At 41.6% G+C, this 21676-nt stretch overlaps 1 protein-coding gene across 3 annotated transcripts in view; it reads left to right on the top strand.

The window, feature by feature from the left end:
- Nucleotides 1-21676, top strand: part of ATXN1 (ataxin 1) — a 462349-nt gene that overhangs the window by 224793 nt on the left and 215880 nt on the right. For all 3 annotated transcript variants that reach the window (NM_001128164.2, NM_001357857.2, NM_000332.4), the window contains one exon: nt 13980-14041. The gene's annotated coding sequence lies outside the window, so the exon portion shown is untranslated. The remainder of the gene's footprint in view (nt 1-13979; nt 14042-21676) is intronic.

The following is a 21676-nucleotide window of genomic DNA, read 5'->3' as shown; positions in this document are numbered from 1 at the left end:
GGGGGCAGTTTTCTGTAAAAGAGGTTAAAAGGAGAAATCAGAAGCCTAATTTTTGTTAAATGAGATGTCCCCCAAAAGTCAGATACATGCATATTTGGGCTAAATAAATCTTTCCTGGGAAACTCTTCTATGACTGGGCAGAGTTGTTCACGAGAGACTTTCCCCCCAACATTTTATTAGGAAAAATTGCAAACATACAAGTAAATTGTAAGAATTGTACAGTGAACACCCATAAACTTGCCACCTAGATTTTGCAAATAATATTTTGCTATATTTGCTTTGTCAGGTATCAAGCCATCTGTCCATCCTGCAGTCCATCATGTTTTAGTTGATGCCCTTCAAGACTAGTTATTGTGTATCATTACTCAATCAAAATAAAATATTGGCTTTAGTTCTTGCTTTTAGGTAAATTTTATTTTATTTTATTATTACTATTATTATTATTATTGTTGAGACAGGGTCTCACTCTGTCGCCCAGGTTGGAGTGCAGTGGTACGATCTCAGCTCACTGCAGACTGGACCTTCGGGGCTTAAGCAATCCTCCCATCTTAGCCCCCTGAGTAGCTGGGACTACAGGCATAGGCTACCACATCCAGCTAATTTGGTTTTTGGTTTTTGGTTTTTTTTTGGTAGAGTCAGGGTTTTGCCAGGCTGGTGTCAAACTTCTGGGCTCAAGTGATCCACCCTCTTTGGCCCCACAAAGTGCTGGGATTACAGGCGTGAGCCAACCATGCCTGGCCAGAAAAACCCAAATTGAGGGACAGTCCACAAAATGATTAGTCTGTACTCCTTAAAATTGGCAGATTGTCACTTTTATCACATCATATGTGACCTATCATGGGCTGTTGATCTTGATGACCTCAGCCGAGGTTGTGTCAGGGTTTGTCAACTTTAAAGTTACTCTTTGTACACAGACACACTCACACACACCCTTTTCCATACTGTACTACTCGTTGGAAGGAAGTCACTGTGCACAGCCCACACTTAAGGGGTGGGCAGTTACGCTCTACCTTTACAAGGGCAGAACATCTGCATGAATTATTTAGAACTCCTTTGCTCAAGAGATGCGTGTTTTCTTCCTCTTTTAAAATTTATTTATATCAATATGAACTCATGGGTGTTTATTTTATTCTTTAGGTTCTAATCCAGTACTATGTTGTTTATTTTGTTGCTCTGGTTGTTTTAGTTCTGGCCATTGGCAGCTCTTTGAGAAATATTAGGAATATTGTCTCTTGTCCCCCTTTTATATGCCCCCATCACTGTGGGGTATTGATTTATCTATTTAGCATTTTCCCACTTTCTGATACTACAAGATGCTCCATGCTCATCTTGGATATTCCCTGTCACAGTACTAGAATCAGCCATTTCTCCAAAGACCCCTGGTTTGTTTTATTGGAGAATGGTGTTAGGAACTAAGTTCTGGGTGCTGGGGCTTGCAGAAATTTTATGCCCAACACATATTAGCTCCCCCTCTTCCTTTTGTGGGAGTTTGGTGTGTGCAGTAGTGAGTGCCCTGTGAAATCTTCATGCTACAGATTGACTTTAGTCCCTCACTGATCCTAGTTCACTTCAGGAGGAGCCTAGCTCACTGTGGCAGACTAGACAGAAGGCAGCCCAGCCAGTCAACTCAACAGATTTCATTTATTCAGCTCAATCCAAGTCAGACTTGGTGCTGTGCTTATTCCTGTGGGCAGATGCCCTGCCCTCACAGACCCCTGCCCTCTAGAATCAAATGACAGGACAGTAACAGAGAAGTGCTGTAGAAAATCAGAATACAGAAGGGCTGGTGCGACCTAGCCTAAGAGCATTCAAAGAAAGCTGTTTATACAAGAGCAGACTTAGGAAGGTTTATTCCAGATGAGGAGGCTAGAAGCAAAGACATGGAAGTGGGAACAGATAGTCTCTTAAATATCTATGGATAAGAAGAAAGCCGAAAATAATGAAGGACTTTGCTTCTTGGGTTTATTTTAGGTAGGAAGTAGGGTTTACTGATCTTGGTGGGATGAGGAAATGGACCAGTGGTGTAGTGGAGCCAGCTTGCACTTTTATGAGCCAAGTGTTAAATGTTCAGAAATTTGGGGAGCATGTTGACATCATGTTATTACCTTGAAATTGGCCATGGTGGGAGTGTTTACACTACAGAAGTCTGCAAATGCTACACATCAGGGGTCCTCTCTCCCCTCCCACTTTTATTAAACATTTCTGCACACACCACTGGCTTCAGCTGTCTAAATATCTAGTATGTACCCTTACCCTGAATTTATTTTTTTTTCCTCTAGTAGTCTTTTTCAGGTACACATTTTTATTTGGTGCTTTGAATTCTCTAACAAAACTGTCAAAAAATGGTTACAGTAGAGATGTGTGCCCCTGATTGAAAACTGCATTTTACTGCATATTGGTTAAAACTCTTAACGGTCAGAAAATTTTTTGGTTAACTGGGTTATTTGGGACCCTCTAATGGCCATTCTCAATAACTGAGTTGGAAAAGTGCATGATTCAAATGTACTAAACCATTACCCAGCCTTCTACTTTATTTTGGCAGCATGGGGAAACCTGTTGTCACCTGAAGGTAGTCATCAGTGTCATATATATGTGGTCATAGGATTTATGGTTGGGCTGGCTTGGAGGTATCTTCTGATTCTTACCAAGAATATAGGAAAAAACGATATCATTTTCTTTCAGCTGAGAAACCATGACTCAACGTTATTCTGCTTGTAGTAGGCAATGCAACCCTGTATCAGTTTGACTTTTGCAAGGATGATACCTGAGTAATCCAGGGAATAGTGCTATGCAAATAGGGACAGTTTCCATGAAGTCACCTCTTGTGCATGGTATATGGTGTTAAGTGTTATGCCGAATTAGACTCAGAGCAGCTTACATTTCAAACGAGTCACCTAAAAGCAGTTATATGCGTGACGAAGGAGAATGGTTAGGGAAAGAAGAAGACTTCTCTTACTCATAACTGGAGATTGTGAGTTTTCACTGTGATCCTGAAAGATAGGTTGGCTTTGCCTTAATTACAGGGATTTCTTTTACCTCTTTGCCCTTTCCTATGTCCCTCCATCAGGTATGGTAAATTTTCCTAGCTTTTGTTCCTATTAGTGACTTTACTCCTGATCCACTGCCAAATTGGGTCTCTGAGGTTGTAAAACTCAGAAAAGGATATTGCAAGCATTCTGGCCATATTACAAATCTCATGTGAGAGCTCACTCTGAATCAAAGGAGCTCTCACATTCTTTTTTAGTCCAAGTGATTCCTAGATGTGGAAGCCGATTTCCTGGAACACTCAAACGAGGTCACAGTTCATCAGCTGCCTCCCATAAACCAACCCTCTCAAGTTTCAACTCTCATTTGAAACTTCTTGGGATATCTTGATCCAAACAGATCACCTGAAAAGCTCCCTTATAAGGTCAAGTGATCACAGGGGTCTTCTTCTTCTTCTTCTTTTTATTGTGATAAAATTCATCATTTTTCCCATTTTTAAGTGTACAGTTCAGTGGCATTAAGTACATTCACATTATATTGCAGTCATCACCACGATCCATCTTCAGAACGTTTTCATCTTCCCAAAGCAAAACTGCATATCCATGTTGTAGCATGTGTCAGAATCTCCTTCCTCTTTAGGGCTGAATAATATTGCACATATGTATCACATTTTGTATCTATTCATCCATTGATGGACACTTAGGTTGCTTCCACTTTAGGTTATTGTGAATTATGTGGCTATGAACACTGGTATACAAATATCTGTTCAAGTGCCTCCTTTCAGTTTTTTTGGGTATATACCTAGAAGTGGAATTGGTGAATCATGTAGTATTTTTTAAATTTTTTGAGGAACCATCATGGTATTTTTCACAGCAGCTGTACCATTTTGCATTTCTATCAGTAATGTACACAGAGTTCCAATTTGTCCACATCCTTGCCAACATTTGTTATTTTCTTGTTTTGGGGGTTGTTTTTTTTGTTGTTAATCAGAGCCATCTTAATGTGAGTGAAATGGTATGTCATTGTGGTTTTGATTTGCATTTTCCTAATGATTAGTGATGTTGAGTGTCTTTTCGTGTGCTTAATGGTCATTTGCATATTTTCTTTGAAGAAATGTCAATTCAAGTCCTTTGCCCATTTTTTAATCAAGGTATTTGTTTTTTGTTGTTGCTCAAGAGTCTTCTTGCATGCCTAGATAGTACACTACTTCAAGAGGCTATTTAGCATTTATCTGGGGTTCCATGGGGCAGCCTGTTCCCTTTGCACATATGTAATGCAGAGATGAATATGTAGAGACTTACCACTGGAAAACTGCACCTGGAATTCTCAGATTTGCCCATATCTGCTTATCATGGACGAGGTTCAGTGGTGGATGCTGCAGAATATACCACCGACTGCTTTTGGCTACTGTGTGACATTGTCATCTAACTTTTCACTAAGAAAAATAATCTCTTTAGAGGAAAGGAAGGAAGTTGAGAGTCCATCTTATAATTTTTCAGTGTAATAATATTCTAGACCAGGTATTGACAAACTGGACCATGGGCCAAATATCACCCCAGCCTGTTTCTGTAAATTAAGTTTTATTGGAACACCGACATGCCTGTTTGTATGAGTATCTTCAATTGCTGCTTTTGCACGACAATGACAGATTGAGTAGTTGCAATGGAGATGTCTGGCCCACACAGCCTAAAGCATTTGCTCCCTGGTCCTTTATAGAAAAAGTTTGCCAACCTTTGGCTGTTCTAGGTGTTTAAGAAATACTATTTTTAGAACCGTATATATAATGTAGTGATGTTGACTGCAAGCTATTCACTTTGAAAACAATAAAGCTTATGTAGTAGATATTACTGTTTTAAGTATTTACTGAATAAGATAGACCCCTGTTACATTACTGCTTTTAAGTATTTACTGAATTCCAATTTTGTGTCCAGAGCTGTGTTCTTTGCCTTTGTTTTTTGATTGGGGCAATGGCTTTCATGTCCTTAGCACCACTGGGGCTGTTACCAGATGTGACCAAAAGGTTTCTAACATGGGTAGCACTTTTTTTTTTTTTTTTTTTGAGACACAGTTTCGCTCTTGTTTCCCAGGCTGGAGTGCAATGGCATGATCTCGGCTCACTGCAACCTCCACATCCCAGGTTCAAGCAATTCTCCTGCCTCAGCCTCCTGAGTAGCTGAGATTACAGGTGTCTGCCACCACGCCCAGCTCATTTTTGTATATTTAGTAGAGACAGGGTTTCGCCATGTTGGCCAGGCTGGTCTTGAACTTCTGACCTCAGGTGATCCACTGGCCTCGGCCTCCCAAAGTGTTAGGATTACAGGTGTGAGCCACTGCGTCCTGCCTGGGTTGCACTTTTTAAAGTCACAGAATCTGAATTCTGCCTTTCCTCTGTGATATTTCCTATTCGTACTAAACTTTGGTGAAGTAGCTCTGATCTTTAGCTGTGGTGAGAGGAGTTATGGAAGAGGGACCTGCCCCGAAACGTAGACCACAGGCAACTTGCTGCCTGGCACCCTAAAGATGGTTTCCTGCTTCTCTTCCCCTCTATCTCCAGGTCAGAGATGCAGCTTTGCTAAGGCAGTGATTGCCAATTTGGGAATTTTGAGATACTGTGGATGTGCTGATTGTTTTGTACAAATTCTCTTCAATACCTTGACCATGTATACAGTAAACTTATGCTAGCTGTTAGAGGACTTATTAAGGTGTATGGACACTGTCTTTGAAGAGTTTATATGGTATGTTTTGGCAGTTGAAGAGTATTAAGCATTGACTTAAAAAATTATGTATAATAAGCATTGAGATAATGGGAAAGAAATGCTACACATACACACACACGCATACCCACCCGTGAACACAGACACCCAGGAAATCATAAAACCTGATTGACTTCTATGTGTGGATGTTTTCTTTTTTTATTCATTTAACTTATATTTTAAGTTCAGATGTACGTGTGCAGGTTCGTTATATAGGTAAACTTGTGTCATGGGGGTTTGTTTTACAGATTATTTTGTCACCAGGTACTAAGCCTAGTAACCATTAGTTATTTTTCCCGATCTTCTTTGTCCTCCCACCTCCACCCTCCAGTAGATTCCAGTGTAGATGTTCTCTTAAGTAAAACGATGGGGTAGTCGTTTTGTACAGTCCAAATAAGATTCCGACAATGGATGAATCTGCTAAGAGGTTACCTTTTGCTCCAGATACAATATTTATCTAAAAGGAAAATGAACCCTTAACCCTTCCATGGAATCGTACTGCTTCACTAACTTTTTGAGTGAAGTGATGGGCATTGATACAGTATTGAAAACTTTCAGGCCCTTTTCTTTACTTTTTGACAATTTGACCTTTTTTCACCCCTGAAATATAGCAATCAGTATTTCTCTTCTGGATCTGGTTCTACAACCTACGTTGATTTTAATTACTTTCCTTGAAAACCATTCTCAAAATACTCTCTGCCCCTTACATTTTAAGCTTTAATGTTGAAAATAGAGCTTTGGTAAGAGTCTCCTTGAAAATGATTTTCTTCAGCCAATATCAGAGGAGTATTTCCTTATTTTTATATTTATATGTTTTAATTCCTTAAGAACAGATATCTACCAAATTTCATGGTATAGATTTATAATCATCTTTTCAATTTTAGACAAATTTTGGAATTCAGATGTTGCTCTTTGAAATGCTGGTGACTTCTCCAACTTGGGGACATTCACGGACTCAATAAGCATGCCTTTTATTTATGATTCTCTGAGGATTCATTCATTTCTGCATATTTTGAATGTCTGCTACACAGAGATAAATGATGTAAAATCCAGGCTATCAGAGCTGGGTCACAATTTAGTGGAGAAGATGAGTACGACAAAAATTTACCATGGAGTGTGAAAAGTGCTCCTCATAGAGACATGTACATCATGCCATAGTAAGTTTAGGGAATTTGGAAACTCACTTAAGTCCTAACTCAATTTAAATTGTGTTAGACTGTGGATAAATTTATCCGACGAGAAACACATAATAATATGTATCTACTCTGAGGTAATAAATGAAAAAAGTTGGATAAAATAAAATACATCTGTTATAACCAATGGCCCCCAGCAAGGCCAGTGCTCTTGAGCCATTATTATTCCTGCACATTCTTTGTGTTTGGGTTATTAACATTGCGCTTAGGTCAGATGAGCGGGTGTTCAATCTGCCACACTTTGATAACTAAAGTAAAATGCTGATGGAGATCATTTAAGACTGTCTCTATGCTGTTGATTGCATGCTTGTGGCTCATAATCAGAATGATGCAAAGTAATTGTTAGACTGACTTGCCAAGGCTACATTTTGTGTCGTTGCCACTGTCAGCACTTTGGTCCCGCTGTGCTGCCTGAAGAACGCTTGCCTGGCACCTGTTGGGCACTAATACACAACTTTCCACTGAATGTCATGGGTAACTTTTGTTCTCATATCCTCGCTTGCTATCTTCACAAAAAAAAAAAAAAAACAAAAAACCCTGACAAAGATTTTTTTTTTTTTGACAGAGTCTTGATGTGTTGTCCAGGCTGGAGTGCAGTGGCACAGTCTCAGCTTACTGCAACCTCCACCTCCCAGGTTTAAGCAATTCTCCTGCCTCAGCCTCCCAAGTAGCTGGGATTACAGGCACACACCGCCATGCCCAGCTAATTTCTGTATTTTTAGTAGAGATGGGGTTTCACCATGTTGCCCAGGCTGGTCTCGAACTCCTGACCTCAGGTGATCCACCTCCCTCGGCTTCCCAAAGTGCTGAGATTACAGGTGTGAGCCACTGTGCCCGGCTGCAAGTGCTTATTTTTTGTTTGTCAGAATGCTTATGTATTGAGACTTTAATCTCTCGTGCATGTTGCCAGGGAGCTCATCTTTTCTCTTTGACCGTGAAACCCAGACAAACCTAGCTTTGTCACTTACTGGTGACCTTGGTTAGGTTACTTTTCTTGAGCCTTATTTTCCTCATCTGTACAATGAGGCCAATAAAACCTATTTTACAGAGATTTTGTCAGGATTAAAGATAATAGATAAAAATGTGTCCATACAAATTAGCCACTCAGCAAATGGTTGTGGCAAATATTAAGGAATTTAATACTTACTCAGGATGATACAATACAACGACAAGACAACATTTCCAAAAGTTAGTCCGAAAATATAATGATAACGTAACTGTGGAACATGTAGTATCAGCACGGTTTTACTGGGCAAGTCATGTTTACCAGAGACACACAATTGGATTTGGATGTTAAAATCTAAACCGCATGGTTTTATGGCTAGATCTGGAATACATGATATGTTATGGGCCCTCCCATGTATACCTTCAGAGGATATGGAGCTACCTTTGGAAGCAATGTATGATTTAGTGTTTTTCTTTTTTTTTTTTTTTTTGAGAGGGAGTCTCACTCTGTTGCCCAGGTTGGAGTGCAGTGGTGCGATCTCAGCTATCTGCAACCTCCACCTCCCGGGTTAAAGAGATTCTGCTGCCTCAGCCTCCCGAGTAGCTGGGATTACAGGCGTGCACCAGGACACCTGGCTAATTTTTGTATTTTTAGTAGAGACGGGGTTTTGCCATGTTGCCCAGGCTTGTCTTGAACTCCTGACCTCAAGTGATCTTCCTGCCTTGGCCTCCGAAAGTGCTGGGATTACAGGCATGAGCCACAGCACCCAGCAGATTTAGTCTTGATGGTGTAAAAAAGCCATTGTATAGCACACAACACAGCCTGACCATCTAATGCTCACTCATGTAAAAGCGGTGACCACGAGAGAGTTGGGCAAAGCAAAAACTCTGTCCCTATAAGAAGTGCATTGTTAGATCTGGAAACATCTCACCAGGTCCTGAATTGTACTATGAAAAGAGATTTGTTAAAAGTAGCTCAGTTCATATTCCATGATATTGCAAATGCCTAGAGTGAATTGTCAAAGAAATGCTCTCTCTGACTCCATCCACTGCTGACATTTAAGGTCTGTGTTCTTAGTTCCCAACATTGATTCTATTTCACATGGTCAAAATGTAATAGACATGTTTTTTCTAAGAGCATGACCCCCACCACAAATTACCACTCCCCTTAAAAATTGCATCGGCTGGACCAGGGATGAAGCATTTAGGGAGCATTTGTTGTAAGGGACTGTCACCTGCCATTGGTTATGGACCTTGGTTTCACAGATCAGACTCTGTGTTGCTCTACTTTGCATCTCCGCCTTTGATCTCGCTGGGATTTTGCAGCCAGTATCTATCTCCTTTGGCATTTCTTTGCTGCTGCTATGTGTTCTTTCTCCCTCTGCTGCTCTCTGCCAGCCCCATCTCCTGCCTGATTCATGGAGCAGTGTTGGATACTTAGAAAAGGTTAACTGCATTCGTGTCTCCATGGCTGGAGACACGATTTCCACACACTCTGCCCATTGCGGGGATATGCTCACTTCCCCAGCCTCCCCTCAAAAGTGAGATTTTCCTGGAATGTCACTAGTCGCGGGGGGAGGTATGGCACCCTTAATTGAGGGCAAGGATGTGTCATGTGACTTCAGCAAATCCTATCACATATATTTTTACCAAACCAACCATTCTCTTTGAGAAGGAACTTAGATTAGAAATATTAACACTGAATGAATATTTTAATTTTTGATACCTTCTAAAGAAATATGGTAAGTCCTGATTTTTTTTTTTTTTTTTTAGGTTTTCACCTTCAAATAGTGATTTAATTTCTAGGATCACTCAAGATCATACAGTTTTTTCAGTTAACTTTCCTCTGTATCATTAAGTAACTCTACCATGATTGGGCTGAAACAAGGACATTTGCTTGACTTCAGACTTAGCGATTTAATACTTGATCTAGCCATCCCTATTCACCCATTATCCCGAGTCTTTAAAATTGAGTCCTTTTTCGATATGTTGAACACCCACTGAATATTCTTTTTTTTTTTTTTTTGAGATGAAGTTTTGCTCTTGTTGCCCAGGCTGGAGTGCAGTGGTGCATTCTCGACTCACTGCAGCTTCCACCTCCCGGGTTCAAGTGATCCTCCTGCCTCAGCCTCCCGAGTAGCTGGGATTACAGGCACCTGCCACCAAGCCCAGCTAATTTTTGTATTTTTAGTAGAGACAGGGTTTCACCATTTTGGCCAGGCTGGTCTTGACCTCCTGACCTCAGGTAATCCACCCGCCTTGGCCTCCCAAAGTGCTGGGATTACAGGCGTGAGCCACCGCGTCCGGCCACCTACTGAATATTCTAATGTGTGATTCTATTCCCTGTGGTATATGTGTTAGTTTGTGTTCTTCTATGCTACACCCACTCAAACCAAAACAACTTTTTGCTGTTAAGGCTTTTTATATTTATTCAGCCTGCCTTTCTCAATCTTGAAAAATGTAGAAGAAAAAGAACCACATGCTACCACAATATGTAGTCACTTCTTATAAACTTGGGACACTTTGGTAGACTCTGTAAATTCAACAAATAAATATGTATTGGTTCATTCCTTCAATGTAATACTCTTTCAGTCCTCAAATGTTATGATGTTGATACATCTATTGATGTTAAAGGAGGTTTTCAATATAATTAATAAGTAAAAAAAATGAGACAGCAAAATACTATGAATACTATCATAGTACATTATAAATAGATTGTATGTATGTATATATATATATATATATATATAGATTTATTTCTATATGTATGTGTACAATATACTCTGTATACTTGGGCATAGGAGAGAGTCTGGGGTCATATAACCAGACTGTTAATAGTGATTATTAGTGGGACTTCTGTGGATTTGTATTACTTGGGTTTTTCTATTTATCTAATTATTATACAGTGAACAGTTTTATTTTGTTCTCATTTGTCTCATCCACTTTTTTTGACTGCATAGTCCTGTAATTTTTTTTTAATTTTTAATTTTTTTGTGGGTACATAGGTGTGTATATGTATGGGGTACATGAGATGTTTTGATACAGACATGTAAAATAAACACATCATGAAGAATGGGGTATCCATCCACTCAAGCATTTATCCATTACAACAAACACTCCAGTTATACTCTTTATTTTAAAATGTACAGTTATTATTGACTATAGTCACTCTGTTGTGCTATCAAATAGTAGATCTTATTTATTCTAACTACTTTTTTTGTACCCATTAACCATCCCCACCTCCCCTCCAGCCCCCTACTACCCTTCCCAGCCTTTGGTAGCCATCCTCCTACTCTCTGTGTCCATGAGTTCAGTAGGTTTGATTTTTGAATCCCACAGATAAGTGAGAACATGCTAAGTTTGTCTTTCTGTGCCTGGCTTTTTTCACTTAACATAATGATCTCTCGTTCCATCCATGTTGTTGCAAATGACTGGATCTCATTCTTTTTTATGGCTGAATAATATTCCATTGTGTGTATATACTATACTTTCTTTATCCATTCATCTGTTGGTAGACATTTAGATTGCTTCCAAATCTTAGCTATTGTAAACAGTGCTGTAACAAACAGAGGAAGTGCAGATTTTTCCTCAATATACTGATTTCCTTTCTTTTGAGTATATACCCAGTCGTGGGATTTCTGGATCATATGGCAACTTGTCTCATTTACTTGTGAGGGGTGAGGAAAAAGGGAATACAGTACAGGTACTCACATTCTGGTAATTTTTGTTGTTGTTGTTGTTGTTTTTGTTTTGCTCTTGTTGCCCAGGCTGGAGTACAGTGGCATGATCTTGGCTCACTGCAACTTCTGCCTCCCGAGTTCAAGCAATTTTCCTGCCTCAGCTTCCCAAATAGCTGGGATTACAGGTGCATGCCACCATGCCCGGCTAATTTTGTATTTTTAGTAGAGATGGGGTTTTACCATGGTGGCCAGGCTGGTCTTGAACTCCTGACTTCAGGTGATCCACCTGGCTTGGCCTCCCAAAGTGCTGGGATTATAGGAGTGAGCCACCACGCCCAGTCACATTCTGGCAAATTATTAAGTCACCAAAGTCTCTCCTGTGTCTTTCCTCCATTGTTACAGATATATGAACATGTTGTGTGCCAAATGGTGATAATGCCTTTTTGTTTTATTCAGTCTCTTCTGTGTACCAAGCGCCACACTAAAAACTAGAAACATTCTATGAAGTCGATATTGTTATTGCCATTATACAAATGAGGAAAGGGTTCAGAGAGTTTAAGTAACTGGAACCACACAGCTCCTCTGTGACTCAGCTGAGGCTCAGACTGAGGTCTGACTTTGAAATCAGTTTTCGTGGTCTCAAGAATTCGTACTGTAGACGTCTCGTCTGTTGTTAGGATGAAAAGGTCAATGCGTGTGAGTGGATTATAAAGTGTTGCTTTAAAACGAAGAAGATACTCAGAGATTTTGCCAGTATCTACCATTTTTCAATGTTTGCATGGCTTTCTGGCAGTTTTTTTCAATTGGAGCATAACCTTTGTCTTTGCAGCCCCACCTAGCCTAGGATAGTCTGACTGCATAGTAAGTGTCATGTTAAACACTTGTGGGCTGCTCTGTGGGACTTGGAGGAGTGCCCTTCAGATTCTGAGGAACTGAGTCTGGGAATCTTCCTGCAGGCTGGTGGGCCATCCTGAAAAAGCTCTATCCTGCCCTGGTGGCCGGCCACATGCCGTCCACGTCCTCTGATGAAAAGGGCGGGAAAGCTGTGGCCTTCCACAGCTCATAGAATGAATCCCAAAGATGCTGGAATCCTGGGAAACTTGCCCACAGAACATCAGGAGCTGGAATAGCTTTGCCTCACAGCCTCTCTTAAACCTGCAAAGGCGTCTTTAAAATAGTCTCTGGAGATTATTGTTGAGTTGGATCTTGAACTTAGTTCCTTGTGTGGTGTAGATTAAATAGTCTGTTGCCGTCGCTCCCTTATCTCCCTTTCTTTCAGGCTTCCTCTGTCCAACATTCACATCATCTCTGTTCTTTCCCACACTTTGTTTGGCCCGTCAGTATCTCAGACACTGTGGCTTCCTCACGGGATTACTCAGTCAGCCTGATATGTGGCCTCCAGCGCCCCTCTGCCAAGTCCACATTCCCATATGAGCCTAATTACATACAGATCACTGCAGGGAGTGAAGCTGTGGGTATACCATTTTGGGAAAGAGCAAAGTGCAGGAATGGGGTACTTTGGTTATTTATTAAGACTTCTTCACAGCCTGGCAATGTAGCAAAACTCCATCTCCGCAAATAAAGAAAAAACACAACATTTTAATCCAGGTGTGGTGGCACATGCCTGTAGTCCCAGCTACTTGGCGGCTAAGGCAGGAGTTTGAGTCTAGGAGTTGGAGGCTGCAGTGAGCTATGATGGCATCCCCATCCACGGTCACTGAATTCCCCCATGAGAGGGACTTTGGAGGGAGGATCCCAGGGTCTGAGCTCAGCTCTGCCACTCACAGCCATGTGCACGTGAGCAAGTGGCTCAGTCCCCTGGGCCTCAGGGTTTCCAGCTATAAAATGGGCACGGATCTATGACAAACCCGGGTAACAAAGCAAGACCCTATCTCAAAAAAATAAAACACGGCTGGGTACGATGGCTCAAACCTGTAATCCCAACACTTTGGGAGGCTGAGGTGGAAGGAGCGCTTGAGGCCAGGAGTTCAAGACCAGCCTGGGCAACATAGTGAGACCCCATCTCTACAGAAACATTACTTCAAAAAAATACAAAAAAAGACTTCTTCAATAAGCATCATGGTGGGCATGGAGGACATGACATTTTAAGAAAGGCACCTAAAAAATTGATTTCTTGGGCACCACAATATGGACTCCTTGTCACAAGGACCATACATCTCATGATAAATGAATCATGCCTGTGATTGTTCTCTACATATTGATTGTTCAAAGCTCTGCTTTTAAAATTCATATAGTCAGCCAAATAATCACGCATCTATTGTTCTTCAGACATTTATTGTGCACCTAATAAAGGCCAAAGTGCTAGGGGCTGGAATTTCTTATCACCTCTAGGCCTGCTCATTTGGACTGATTTAGAGAATGGAGTTATTAATTTTTTTAAAAAATCTTTTTTTCTATTCCAGTTTTCCAAAGAAATTAGACCATTTTCTTCGTGAGAAAGAAATCGACGTGCTGTTTTCATAGGGTGAGTGATCCTTTGAATCTTTCATGTATTTTTACCCACATCAAAATATTATCCAATTACTATGATGCACCAAGAAAAAGTGTGTGACAGCATGCACTCTCTAGTTTTCTCCTGCTTGGAACCAAGGTATTTTTCCTATTCTTTGACTCTCCTCATCACTGGGTCCTTTGGAGAGGATGGTTTCCCTTGTAGATTTTTCTGCGATTTCTTTTTTGCCGTTCACATGCTTTGCCTCGTGCGAGGTCATCATTGTTGCTATTACCTTGTCCAGCTCACAGAAAGGAAGTTTCTTTCCCTCAGCAACTGGTGCACAGAGATACAGCTGTAGGCAAGGGGGAACCATCCAGTTTCAAGTGACTGTGATGTCTTTTGAATTCCATGACCAAGAATAACAGGATATGAGCACCAGATGAGACCTGAGAGCTTGTCTGGCAAAGGCCCTATGTACAGATGGGGCATCTGAGGCCCAGAGGCTCACATCACCTTTATGGGGCTTCATGGAGAGTAGCAGAGCTAGGATTTTGATACTGGTGTGTTTGGCTCCTAGCTGCATGATGTTTGCCCTGCACAAGTCTGGTTTTGGAATCTGCAGATTCTTTTTGAGGCTGTAGAGTTATAGGTAGTTTAACTTAATGTGGTCTTGGTAATCTAATAATGATCACCCCTAAGGCAAGGGTCAAGACTGATACTGATAGACTATTTGACTTTCTCATAATCCTAGTTGGCTACTAAGTAAAGGGGTTGGCAGAGTGAGTGCACCCAGAACACTTCTGTTATGGATGTCATCTGAGAAAGCTTATTTTCTTCTGCGCCCTTTCCAAACCACTGCATCTGCAATGCCACGTTGTCATGTGCTGAGACTTGGTGGTACATCTGCTTTGCAGCTAGAAGTCATGGTACACCTGCAGGTGTGTGCAGTCCAGCTGCAGACCCACACACCCGACTCGCGGTTGTCTGCACCTGCAGAAGAATGGCTAACAGGGTTCCTATATTGAAGTACAAATCTGACCTTCATAGAGACTTTTGAGAAACATTTATTCTTTTATTTTATTTGTTTATTTATTTACTTTGAGACGGATCTCCCTCTGTCGCCCAGGCTGGAGTGCAGTGGCACGATCTCGGCTCACTGCAAGCTCCGCCTCCCGGGTTCACGCCATTCTCCTGCCTCAGCCTCCTGAGTAGCTGGGACTACAGGTGCCTGCCACCATGCCTGGCTAATTTTTTGTATTTTTAGTAGAGATGGGTTTCACTGTGTTACCAAGGATGGTCTCCATCTCCTGACCTCGTGATCCGCCTCGGCCTCCCAAAGTGCTGGGATTACAGGCGTGAGCCACCGCGCCCGGCCCCATTTATTCGTTTTTTTTAAAGTTATGTTGGTTTTTACATAAGAGTGCAGTTGTGCAATAAGATGGAGAGAAGTTAAGAATATGATTCTCAGTTAGAATCCCAGAAGGTAAACTTGACTGTGTGTGTGGTTTGTTTGTTTGTTTGTTTGTTTTTTTAGACATCCTAGGTTAAATCTGGCTTCAAATTGTGTTCATTTAGGTTGGTGAACTAAGTGCACTTATTTCCAAAACATTTCATCTCACCTAGGGAGTGGTCAAAGGGTAGTATTAAGAGCTTGTGTTTATTATTTTATCCAACTTGTCAGCTTAATCACTTTGTCTTCTTCCCTAACTAGAGTCATTATTGCGGAACTTGATCATCTCCTTATGTACATACAGACGTAATTGGTGTCTACCAACATACTGAATGGAATGTAGAACATAGATTGCTGATTTGTGAGGGATCATCTGCTGAGTTACCCTAACATTGATCGCTCCTGTCCACAGAGCTGGGTCTACACGAGTTAGCATTCATTAGAACTGTGAAGGTTTCCATTTTCCTGTCTTATCTGAGAAAAGCCCAAAAAGTTTATTCTCAGAGCACACCACAGTACAATGTGGGTCACTGACACCTGTTGCTCTCTGGGGACTGTAAAGGTCTCTTTAGAGTCAAGAGATTAATTAGACTAAAAGAAGGGGGCAATTAAGGGCCTTGAGAAAGTGAAGAAATGTCCATTTCCATGCTTACATCATAGGATTCTTTGGGTAAAGAATAAACTGGTAGAGAAGGGTCTGAGGCAAGAAATGGTGAAGGAATGAAAGAAGGACTGCCTGAACCCATGTAGACCACTTGTGGCTACTTTGGTTTCCTTCTGGGGTCATGAGCACTTTGATGTTGACATTCAAGAGGGCATCAAATTATTATCCAAAATATTACAAGCCGTAATTTTTTTATTTTACCAAATGAGAAAAAACTAAACACAGATAGAAGCCATGAGTATTTTTCTCCCTAAAAAGAAGCTCAGAAGCTGGCCCCCACATGCATATATACCTTGTAAAACGTGAGTCCCTGGGCTCAGTTTCATGGTATGCAATGGGGCTGGGTCTTGGGAACAATGCTGCTGTTGTTTCTAAGCTCAAACAGCACTCACCATCAATGGTATCTCTTTAAGGGAAATCCAGGGAAATGCTCTTGCCAGCGCTGTGATTTTATTTGCTAGAGGCCAGGTGGCAATGACATGCATTGGTTCCATAGCAACGTGACTGTGCTGCCAGAAAACATATAATGACTGTGACAGCCAGTGTATCCTGGGCAGGATGAGGGCAGCCCTGATACCCTCTTTTATTTCCCACCTTATCCTCTCTTGCCTTTCCCCTCCTGGGGCCTGTGATATGCGGAGAATGTGGTTTTCGTAATGGTTACTATCTACTCTTGCTATTAACACTTGCCTCCTGTCTCGGTCCATCTTGGAACTTGATGAGAGACAAGGCAATGCCTGTAGGAGTGTTCTGCAGGCCTCTGAATGGGTCAGCAGGGTTGGCAGCACCTGCCTGTCTTAGCAATTGAAAGGAGGTGGAGAGTCTGTGCTTTTCATCCTCCCTGTGTGTGGCACAGCGGCTCTGTCAGAATGACCTGGTGGGGAGGGTACTTCCTGGGCATCGTGGTCAGCTGCTCCTGGCTGAAATGTGTGGGTAGTGACATGGAGCAATGTGAAATCCAGGGAAACAGAGTGCTCATTTAATATGCTGCAGATTGAGGAGACACCTACCAGTGGAGCCTGCAATGCCAGGCCCAGTAGGACTGCACAGAGAAATGCAATACCCATTTCTCATCTTCTGGGAGCTCTTACCAGAGAGGCAGTTTCTAATTGCAGTTTCTCTACTGATGTGTGGTTGGGGCTTTCACATTTCTCTAATGTTTCCTCATCTATATAATCCTTGATGAAAGAATTGTAAGAACTCTTAGTTCCAACGGATACTTTTTTTCCCCTCTGAACTCCTGAAGCATTTTTAAAAATCTTTACCATCCATTTGACATTGCTCTTGTATTTCCTTTTTTCATATATATTGCTTTGGGGGCCTGAGTGTTTTCTAGGTCGAGGCTAAGCCCTTCAAGGATACGAAACATGTATCTTCTTCTTCCTCTTAAAAAAATTTCTCTAATGCTCACAACTGAGTTCTGCAGATAGTAACCATGACATTAATATTTGTTCACGACAACGTTATATTCTCACTCCATCTCCCAAGGAAATTGTGAGGCAAGTGTGTAAATATATTGAAAATGTTGTTCAGTTCTTCAAAGAAAAGATAAACTCAAGAAATTATTTTCCTAATGTGGTTTTTTTAATGCAGATATAAAGTCACAAGGTAAGAATATCTAAAGGCTTCATATTTCCTCATCTTCCTCTTTCTGGCTACTGACCATAGCATATACCCCTGGGTTTTATACTGGCACCAAAATCATCCTTTTTCCCACCTCACTCCCAATATTCACTGTATTGAATTTGTCTTTGGGATCAGACTTCTCAGTCTAGCGTTTTGGACTATTAAGTAAGAGATTTGAGGGATTTTTCCATTAAGATGACAGATAGATTAGGTTTGATAGATTAGGATAGTGATTCCTAATTTGGTTTTGAGGTCTGTTTAGGGGAGGGAAGGTTTTTATCTTATGGAAACTTTTATCTTACAAGAGTTCTCTTCCCGTCCCAAGTTCTGAGCCCACTGAGAAATAAGACAAGAGTATTGAGGCAGACGGGGGCCAGAATGCAACTATGTGACTGAGGGCAATGAGCTAACTTGACACCTGCCTGTTCCCCAGTCTAGCCTGGTCGCAGGCCACCTGCAGGAAAGTTTTGAGTCTACAGGCACCTGTCTGTGTGAAGAGGGAAGGAGAAAGAGGCCCAAATCCCTGCTAACCCTGCTCAAAATTATATAGATTCACCCTATCCAAGGAGGGGGCATAGGCCACGTTGGCTTTAGCCCCAGCCGGGTTACTCATTCCACACCCTTGGGGAAGAAAAGGTTGGAGCAAGAGGTCAGAGGGCATAAGGGAAATCCTCCCCCATAGAAAGCTGGGGTGGGGCGTGGCGTTTCCTTCCTGCTCTGGCCATATTTCTGCTCCCTGCACCCCATCAGGCCTACCCGCCCCCAGCTCACTCAAGCCTTCTTACCTGTTGTTTTCTTCGTGGCGCTTGGGCTTCTGCATCCGACTGCTGGTTTATTGTTAGTCTCCTCTATTAGAATTAGCTCAGTGGAAGCAAAAGCCTTGTCGGTCTCATGGACTGCATGTATCCCAGTATTTAAAACTGTGCCAAGCACATAGGAGGCATTTGATCAATATTTGTTGAATGAATAAACACATAGATGTTGTTTGATGCCTCTGCTCACACTCTTTAATTACCTGGACATCCCTGGTGCCCTGTCTTGTCTGGCAAGTCTGTAGGAGCTAGTTCAGCAATCGTGGTCTCTTCTTGCTCTGTATGTAGCTCATCAGTTGGCAGTAGTTGGCATGTGTGCATGTGTGTGCTCTCATGTAGGTGAGTGTGCATGTGTGTATCTTTGTATGCATGTGTGTGCACCTACATACCTGTATCCTTTTGTGCATATGTATTTGTATGTACTTGTGTTCTCTCTCTCTCTGGCTCTGTAATACTTCACTTATTTGTTTACATATCTTTTACCCTTACTAGATTGCAAATGCTTGAAGAACTGGGGAACCTGTTAATCATTCTTGTTCCTCTAATATCTGCCATGTAGTAGGTGCTCAGTATATGATAATATTAGCATTCTAAGCACTTACAACATGCCCAGTACTGCTTTATTTTAAAATTTAAAATAACTTTTATGTATCTTGCATATATTAACTTGTGTAATTCTCACAACAACCTTACAAGATACATTTTAAACTCGTTTTGTGGGAAAGGAAACTGGGGACATGAAGAGGTCAAGTGGCTGGCCCACAGTCTCACAGCTAGCCTGACTCCATAGCTTTTTTTCTCTGCTACCTCTCAGAAACTGACTACTGTATTTGTGTGAATGAACAAATGACTGAATGAGAATTTTAGAAGCCCAGACCAAAATCATTAAATAGACCTAAAGACATTAGGGTCAACACAAATAAGTAAAAATGATGAGCCATGGTTGACACAGAATCAAGGCCATGGCTAAGATAAATTCACAGATGAATAGCTAATGCCTTCTTGTAGCCATTGCACTTAATTCCTGATGATCCATGCCTGCATGGTGGTATTGGTTAATGCAAATGAATAATTGTTATTACGTATTGGGAATTATTTCCTAGTGGGAAAATATCAAGTCATCAGTTATGAGTTAAGCAGCTACTGCTTGCGAGGCTCACAACTAAATTTTGGGGAAAATGATGAGAGGAAGGAAAATGTGAGTTGGAGGGTGAAAAGGTAAGCCCTGAAAGTACAAGCCAAGGTCACTGTCTTCAAGAGGCTCTTGTCTCATTAAGTGGCAAGGAGTGAGTAAAAGTGACATTAAGGCAATTAAAAGATACTGAGGGCAGTAAATATAAAGCCTAGCACAAGGCATTGTTAGACATGATTCATTACCAAATGGTAATAATAGAGAAAATAAAAGCTATTGTATTAGTCAGGATAGGATAAGCTTTTGTTGCAGAAAGGTCAACCCTAAACTTTCAGTAGCTTAGCAAAATAAAAGTTTATTTCTCATTCATACAGTGACCGCTGTGGATGCAGTATCTCTCCAGGACAACTGTCCTCCATGCATAACTCCATGATGCAGTCTGCTTTGATCTTTTTATCCAGCCATCTAGGGGCCTCTTTCATGATCACTGGAAGAGAGAAAAATTGGAAAATTGCACCAGCAATTCAATGCTTCAAAGCTTTGGCCTAGAAGGGACACTTGTCACCTGCTATGTCCTAAGCATGGCTTTTAGCTTTTTGTATAACTCCCAACGTCCCAGTCCTCTCACACAGCACACAGTAGGTGCTCGATAACGTGTAGGGTAAAAGAATGAATGAACTTAAGAATGCATTGTGACTTGCTCCTGATGGTGTTGTAGCAGTAATATACCTGGCAGCCCCCAAAGCCCAGGCTTGGAACAGTCAGATCTGGCTCAAAAATATTTACTAAAATTAAAAGAGCATTAATAAAAATAACAACATAGTTAACATTAATTAGCTATGGTGATGGGACAATCATAAGGACACGGGCAAATTAAACTCAATTTAGCAGGTGGCTAAACTTACGCTAAAGCCCCGGCCTGCCAGACATTGGCCTTGTCTTAGACACATCACTGTCTAACAGTCCAGAGCTCAACTCACAGTTCACAAGTCATCTGGTCCCATCTTGTCTTTCTGACCTTGTTCCTCCTGAATGAGATGGAGATCATTAGGCTTGTTAAAAATTAAGAAGCTTTATTAAGGCAAAGTTAACCTGTCTGGGATGCTTCCATGATTCCATCCCAGGTGTATGGACCACCCTATACCATCCCCCTCCTGCATCCGCTTCTCTCATGCTTTCATCTTTCATCTGGGGTCCTGGTGAACAGACCACAATTCAGCTCCAGATCAACGAAGAGGGGCTTCCAGACAGGGGCCACGCATATGCTGAGGAAAACACAGCAATCTAACATGTAAAGTAAGTGGGAAGCTCCGTGTAGGACTCAACACGGAGAATGGACAGCTCATAGAGAGAAAGGGGGAGACTGCCTTGGACAGGGAGATAGGGGTCACACCACATGTGTCAGACCAAAGAATGGGGACCCCTCAACCACATTCGCTACGTGTGTATTATGTGGTGAAGAGAAACCTGCCTGCGAGGAGGACTGAGTCCCAGCCACTGACAGATTCCCAGGACACGGTGCTTCTTGTTGGTTTGTGGTTTGGGGGTGGTAGTGGTAGGGAGGGAGGAGTGGTCACTGTGTAAATGGGCAGTGCTGTGGGGAGGGGTCCTGAACTGGGGGTTGGCAGTCACTGGAGATTTTTCAACAAGTTGGGGATGTGAAGAACCATGTTTTAGTGAGATGAGCTTTACAGCTGTGTCCATATCCCGTGAGATGGTGGAGAAAAAAGAGACTGGGGTCCCAGAGGGAAGGCAGTTGCAGGCGTAAGGAGATAAGGTTTTGAGAACTACTGTGGGCGTGTTACAAAGGGACCGATGTGGAGGACACTACAAAGAAAGAGTTGAACAAACTGAGCAACTGGGTATTAGAAACAATGAAAGGAATGGAGTCAGAGATAACCCAATTTTTGAGCCTAGGTGGCTACCGAAGGTGTCCTGTGTTGTACTTTATGGATATTATTATTATTAATTATTATTATTA

The sequence above is a fragment of the Homo sapiens genome, chromosome 6, assembly GCF_000001405.40.
Source record: "Homo sapiens chromosome 6, GRCh38.p14 Primary Assembly".
In the NCBI taxonomy this organism is placed as follows: Eukaryota; Metazoa; Chordata; class Mammalia; order Primates; family Hominidae; genus Homo; species Homo sapiens.
This window is presented reverse-complemented; position numbering and strand designations above follow the sequence as displayed.